Consider the following 6,467-nt stretch of genomic DNA (forward strand, 5'->3'; position numbering starts at 1 on the left):
TTCTAGCTTTAGTCATGGCTAGGACCAAATGTTCAGGTGATATCTCTAGGATCCTCTCCATCTCTTAACTCTGCTTTCTCCATGGTGGCTTAATTTCCAAATATGAGTGAGCACCAAGAATTTCAGATGTATGTTCCATCAGCCTGATAAACTCAGTGGCTCTAGAAAAAGTCCCAGAAAATACCTTGATGGGTTATTGTGATACTTGTCTATTCTTGAGGCCGGGAAAATGGAATGATTCAATTGTCCAGGACACATGCTGACTCTTGGAACAAGAAGGTAGAGTAACCTCCTTCCTGGCTACATAGACTGACATTAGAGGGGCCAGTGAATCTTTAAAAGTAAATGTGAGTGTTGTTACCAAAAGAGGAATGTTGAAACTGCAAAAACAACAGGTGTATCCTCATATTTTTCTCATGACATGTGTGGTTGCAGAAAGTCTGTTCTTCATGGGTCCAGAAGTTTCTTGAAGGCAGAGGCTGTTTCTTGCTCGTGTTATAGAAACTATTATCTACCAGAGTGCCTGGCACTCAGTACTGATTAAAAATAGAAAGACTCTTATGTATTCTAATTAAAGATACTACAGCAGTGTCACTCAGTTTAGTTTATTTGTAAGATAAACCAAATACTTTAAAACGATATATGACAAAGAGCTTCATCTAATTCAGATTACACCATCCAAGATCAAATAATAAGATATCTGCCCGCCAGAGGAAAACAAACAAATGCCTTAAGATAAATAGTAACAGTACTTTTGAAATCTGCTTCCATTTTCATACTCAAAACATATGGTTATCTATAGTAATTCTGCTGCAGACTTTTGTGCTTGTAAATAAAGTAAATGTGCAAATTAATAAAATTCTATCATGCTTCATCATGAATAATGAATAGTTACAAACTCTTCAATGAAAAAAGTAGATTTGCTGTATTTTAAGCATTTCAACAGAAACAGAAGTGGGAATCCATTAATATTTAGTCTATATTTTTTTCTTTGTGTTTGATCTGTTATAGAAAACAAACTGTAATGTTGTTAAATAAAATGAATGCAATTGAGTGTACGCAGGTATGGACATTCTCCTACCATCACATCTTATCTGTCATTCACATGAGGATAAAATAATGTCTCCTGCTTTAAAAGAAAATTTCCAAAGTGCTGAAACAATTTTACACAATTCATGGTGAATGTAAAAATAACCTACAATAGGGTCTTATGCCAAATTAGGCAGCACTTTAGAGAAGCAGGGAATAAAGGCTCAAAGTGAGAGGGAGCTGGGAAGGGAGCATTCTCCTCCTTGTCAGAATAATTGGTTCATTAAATGGAAGGAAAGAAGGGGAAGAGATAAAATGGGAGGAGAGTTCCCACTATTAAATATGTATTGCACAAGGTCTCTCTCAACTTGCTTTGCAGCATCACAGCTAATGTACACAGACCCTAATAAGCAACAAAGTGAATAGGGAGCTGGACTCCCAATTGTTCAGTTCTGTTTTTTCCAATGATAAAGAGGAGGGTGCACTGGTTTCCCTAATCCCAGGGATCAGGTCCCGAAGCTAAGCAAAAGGAAGAAAGGACTGATTAAAGCCACAGCAGTCAAGACCTTTGTGCAGTTGTGATATGTGGGTGTATACAGACACATGCCCAAATAAAGAGCATGCATGTGGTCAGTGGAGTGCTGCGAGAAAGCCTCTGGGTTGAATAGTGCCATTATAAACATAAGTCATTATTAGTAACCAGCATAAATAGGTTGGCCTGTCATGGGGTTAAGATCTGTGATCTGCTGGGACTTGCTACTCTTCAGAGCAAGGGGATGCAGCAGCTGTGTGACAGCAAAATCTGTCTTGAGAATACATCCAAGGGCCCATGGAAAAGTGGTTTCTCATAGACATGGTCTTTAATTAAAGTGGTTGTTGTAGAAAGAAGGTCATCAATCAGAGGTGACCCTTGGATCGAGTTTTGATCTCCAACTAACTGTTCAGTTTTATTCAAGGGACAAAGAGTCAGGAGGGGACCAGAGGGAATAATATCAAGGCAGGAGACACATTTACTTCTGATGTGCAAAACCATAAAAGGTTCAAAGTTTGGGTTTTGGTTCAAATAAAATCCTAAGGGTTCAGATGGTTTTCTAAACCCTCTGAACCTCATGAATGTAGAGAACCAGCTGAAAGAAATCTCGCAAGAGCACAACGGTCCTTGGCATGTTTGGCCACTTCACTCAAAAATCTGGCCAGAAAAATACCATCAGCAATTTAGGCAAGTCCAGCCAGTTGACAAAGAAAAGTGTGCCTTAAGGGCTGCTTTCCCAGATCATAGCTACTATTTGCCTAAGGAAAATGAGAGGAAAATTGAAGGCATGAATGTGGCACATAGCATTTACAATAGATCTGATTGGGCAGTGAGAGACTAGAAGGACTCACAGAGTCATAGTTGATTGAGATTAAAAACAAAGCAAAAAACCTCAGAATGGCCAGGCACGGTGGCTCACACCCATAATCCCAGCACTTAGGGAGGCTGAGGCGGGCAGATCACAAGGTCAAGAGATCGAGACCATTTTGGTCAACATGGTAAAACCCCATCTCTACTAAAAGTACAAAAATTAGCTGGGCGTGGTGGCACGTGCCTGTAGTCCCAGCTACTCGGGAGGCTGAGACAGAAGAATGGCTTGAAGCTGGGAGGCGGAGGTTGCAGTGATCCGAGATCAAGTCATTGCACTCCAGTCTGGGGGGCAGAGTGAGACTCCGTCTCAAAACAAACAAACAAACAAACAAAAAAACCTCAGATCAACCAAGATTTCACATAGCAATTCATCCCCCAAAACATGCTTTGTCTCCCTTGTTTTCTGGCTTTTCCACTTTTAGGATAAAAGCTTACAAAGAGTAACGCTGACAAAAAACTAGCCAGAGAGGAGCCAGTCCAAATCTTCCTAGCAGCCTACTTCTTTTTCATCCCTTCATTTCCGCATTTCCGTTCCTTCTCCTGTGAAGTATAGAGCTGACCGTGGACAAATCTAAATAGCCAGAGTTTCTTCTCTTCTTAGTATCCCCTCATTTTGAGGCCTCATAGGTTGCTCCTCTGGCCACCTGGCACCCTGTTTCTCTGATGAGATTACCCAGGATTTCTCAACCAGAGATTTCTCTTACCCTCTATATTCTGGGTTTTCTCCTTATTTACCCATGATAAGCTTGCAGTTGTAGTTGAATTTAGCATTATAGTTGAAATGGATATGATGAGGCAATTCATAGGTGTAAATTTTAGAGAATAGTGTCGTGTGTTTTCTCAGGTAAAGGCCCTTTCATGAGAATAATTTATCGGTAAGCTGAAAAAATAATATGTCAAACTGATGAGGAGGAATCCTTAGGGGAGAGGGTACTGAAATTCCATTATGTGTATGACTGGAGTGGACGCTGTCTCTCATCCTCCACCTGGACCCTCCCACCCATACCCCCATAGTCATCCAACTACATCTCTGTGAGTCCTGCTGGGACTAAGCACTTGCAGAGGTCTCACAGCTACATCTCTCACTGGATCAAGCCCTTAACCTCAGAGGTCCACCTCACTGGAGCCCTCTCCCCAGGGCAGCTGTGGCCAAAGATTGACAGACCCAGGAATGCAAATCCCTGCACACCTCCCCTTCCCACTTGCCTCAATTTGTGACAACTCTGGGGAGCCACTCTCGTTTCTGACATCCACCCTCTCTCCCCTCCCCCCTCCCCCCAACCCGGCAGACACACACCCTTTGTTTTTGGATTCACTCATAACTACATTTTCAGGCTCTTCTCTCTCTACTTTCTCCTGCCCTCCCTACTTGCTTGTAGATTGTCTCCTGAAGTCACTCTGCAAGGAAACCTTCTGCTCTGTTTCCAAAAAATGCTCAATGCAAAACAGTGCTTCTCCTTGCATTCCTAAGGAGCTCAGTCAGCTTCTCATACATACTACTGTTTAGCAGAATATTGCTGCAGATAGCAGAGTAGCTAACACCTTTCACTGGGAAAAGGGGAGGTGCTGTGGGGAGAGCTGAAACCAAGATTACTTGGGGAAGAGTGAATAGAGGTCAGTGGGGGGCCTTGGCAATTATGGGTGCATAATAATGGGTCTCAGCATACCAGAGGAAAATCCTCGCCCCTGTCAGACAAGCTATCATTCCATTTTCACCTCCAACCTGCAAATTTCAAAATCGATCCTTTTTATATGTGCCCTGGATGTTGCAGGTGCAAAAACATTTCAGAACAAATGTGATCTGATCATTTGCCTATATATAGAGATCTTAATTATCACATTTATCCATTTTATTTCTTTTGAAAGGTTTTTAGAGGTTGTATATCAATGACATCCCTTCCGAAGGATTTGCATTTGAAAGGCTGTTGTTCAAATTTAATTCACATTTGACACAATGTTTTCTCTTGCAGAGCATTACAGAATATCTGAAAATCAGTTTTTAGCAGTCTCTATTCTACATCCCTCTGATCATCTCTCTTTTTATTAACAGTATATTCTAAGTGAATTTCATGTGTGTTGTGGAAGTGAAAAAAATCAGAAAATGTTCATATCCTTTATTCAGTCCCATTTTGATTTTTAAACTGCTCTTCTGTATTGTCTCTCCCATGGGGAGTACTGCCAAAAGGAGCCTGCAGGACAGTGTCTCTGGGCTTCCTGGGACTACGGGGGTCCAGAATAAGAATCGACCCGAAGGGAGCACAGTGTGTTGTTCATAGAGAGTCATGATTAATATCTACCTCTGACTCTTTGCTCTTCTCCTGTGAGAGCAAGCCTGTATGAAATCACTCCACATGCCTGGATGGTTTGTTTTGCACGTCAAGCTCCAACAGCTCTCAGTGAAAAACCAAGATTACATCCTCAAACCCAGGCTGAAGAGAGGGCTGTCTTTAAGGGTAGCAGAATGTTCAGATTTGCTCCTGGCAAATCCTGTTATCTTAGGGGGAAAAAAAATTGAGGGTATTGATGAAGAGGCCCCTTTCTTTAAGAGGGCTGTCCAGTAAAGAGATGAGAGACAGCTGGAATTAGCAGCTATTTGTTTTGTATGCTTTTGTATGTTGTTTTTGTATTGGAACACATTTTGTTCCCATAGTTAGATATTTTTTATTTATTTACTTATTTTTTTACCCTTGGACGAGAAATACCGAAATCCAGATGCAAATGCAGGGTACAAAGTAAACTGCAGAATGGTATGCTGTCTCTGTATCATTGCTCGTTTTATAGGTTTTGTCAGTTTCTGAAAAACGGTGAAAGATAATTGGCCTGAGATGTAAAGCCACACTCGGCTGTTCCAAGGAACAAAGAAAGACAGCTTTAGCCCACAAGGCCATATTTTGTGAAACATACTCTTCCTTTTTAATAATGAGCCGATACACAGTGCTTCTTCTCAGCACTGAAAAATCTGTAGTTTTCCCCCTGCAATGTTGTACAAGGCATTTAAACTGGTGCCATTTGTAATGCTGTGGTCGGTCTCATTGAACAAGAAGAGCCTACACTTGTTATCTTAACGAAAGGCGGAATGGCTGTAGCGCTCTGGCATGGCTGTGTGAGAGCTGCAATATCCTTCCAACATATTTAACCTTAGGACGATAGCATCAGAAACAGCGATAGCAAATAATCAGGACCCAGAAGCTGTCATCCCAGCAACTATCATGATCTTTTGGGTGTATTCAATGTTTCCTGTTTAGAAGTGGGCAAATATTTGTCAAGAAATATAAATATGAAACTCTAACTAGGGAATTCAGGTGATGCCTAGAAGACAGAACAAGTAGCCAATACATCCCATGGGAATCATAAATATATTGTCCTAAAGAAAAAACATCCCCCATTCAAACGTGACCACCCTGCTACACTTTAGGCACCACGGCATTGACAGAGGTGACTATGGTAACACCTCTGTCTTTCATTCTTACTTTCTTATTTGAATTCAGTCACCATTTTAATTTTTCTTTTGAAATCCCACTCCAACTACATGTTATTTTTTCTCATAATTTACTTGCCTTCTTCCCAGTCTACTCTGGATACAGCAGTCGAAGCTATCTTCTTAAAAGTAAATTTGATTACATTATCCTGTTAGGAATCTCCAATGGCGGCCAGGCGCGGTGGCTCTCACCTGTAATCCCAGCACTTTGGGAGGCTGAGGTGGGTGGATCACAAGGTCAGGAGTTCGAGACCAGCCTGGCCAATATGGTGAAACCTCGTCTCTACTAAAAATATGAAAATTAGCTGGGCGTGGTGGCACGCACCTGTAGTCCCAGCTGCTCGGGAGGCTGAGGCAGGAGAATCACTTGAACCTGGGAGGCAGAGGTTGCAGATAGCCTAGATTGTGCCACTGCACTCCAGCCTAGGTGACACAGTGAGACTTTGTCTCAAAAAAAAAAAAAAAAAATCTCCAATGGCAGAATAAAATAAAAACTCTTCACCATAGCCCAAGACTTGGTATGCCGTGTGCTCGCCTCTCCATTACTGATCTCTCACA

At 41.6% G+C, this 6,467-nt stretch overlaps 2 annotated features.

Annotated features, from left to right (window-relative positions):
• Nucleotides 3,624–4,434: an enhancer, noted in NCBI's record as "OCT4-NANOG-H3K27ac hESC enhancer chr5:165857528-165858338 (GRCh37/hg19 assembly coordinates)". NCBI's record gives its function as "activates a minimal SCP1, AML or CMV promoter by ChIP-STARR-seq in primed H9 embryonic stem cells {active_cell/tissue: H9 hESC(primed)}" and the evidence as "EXISTENCE:reporter gene assay evidence [ECO:0000049][PMID:30033119]".
• Nucleotides 4,435–5,245: an enhancer, noted in NCBI's record as "OCT4-NANOG-H3K27ac hESC enhancer chr5:165858339-165859149 (GRCh37/hg19 assembly coordinates)". NCBI's record gives its function as "activates a minimal SCP1, AML or CMV promoter by ChIP-STARR-seq in naive H9 embryonic stem cells {active_cell/tissue: H9 hESC(naive)}" and the evidence as "EXISTENCE:reporter gene assay evidence [ECO:0000049][PMID:30033119]".

Source organism: Homo sapiens, chromosome 5, assembly GCF_000001405.40.
Source record: "Homo sapiens chromosome 5, GRCh38.p14 Primary Assembly".
Taxonomy (NCBI): domain Eukaryota; kingdom Metazoa; phylum Chordata; class Mammalia; order Primates; family Hominidae; genus Homo; species Homo sapiens.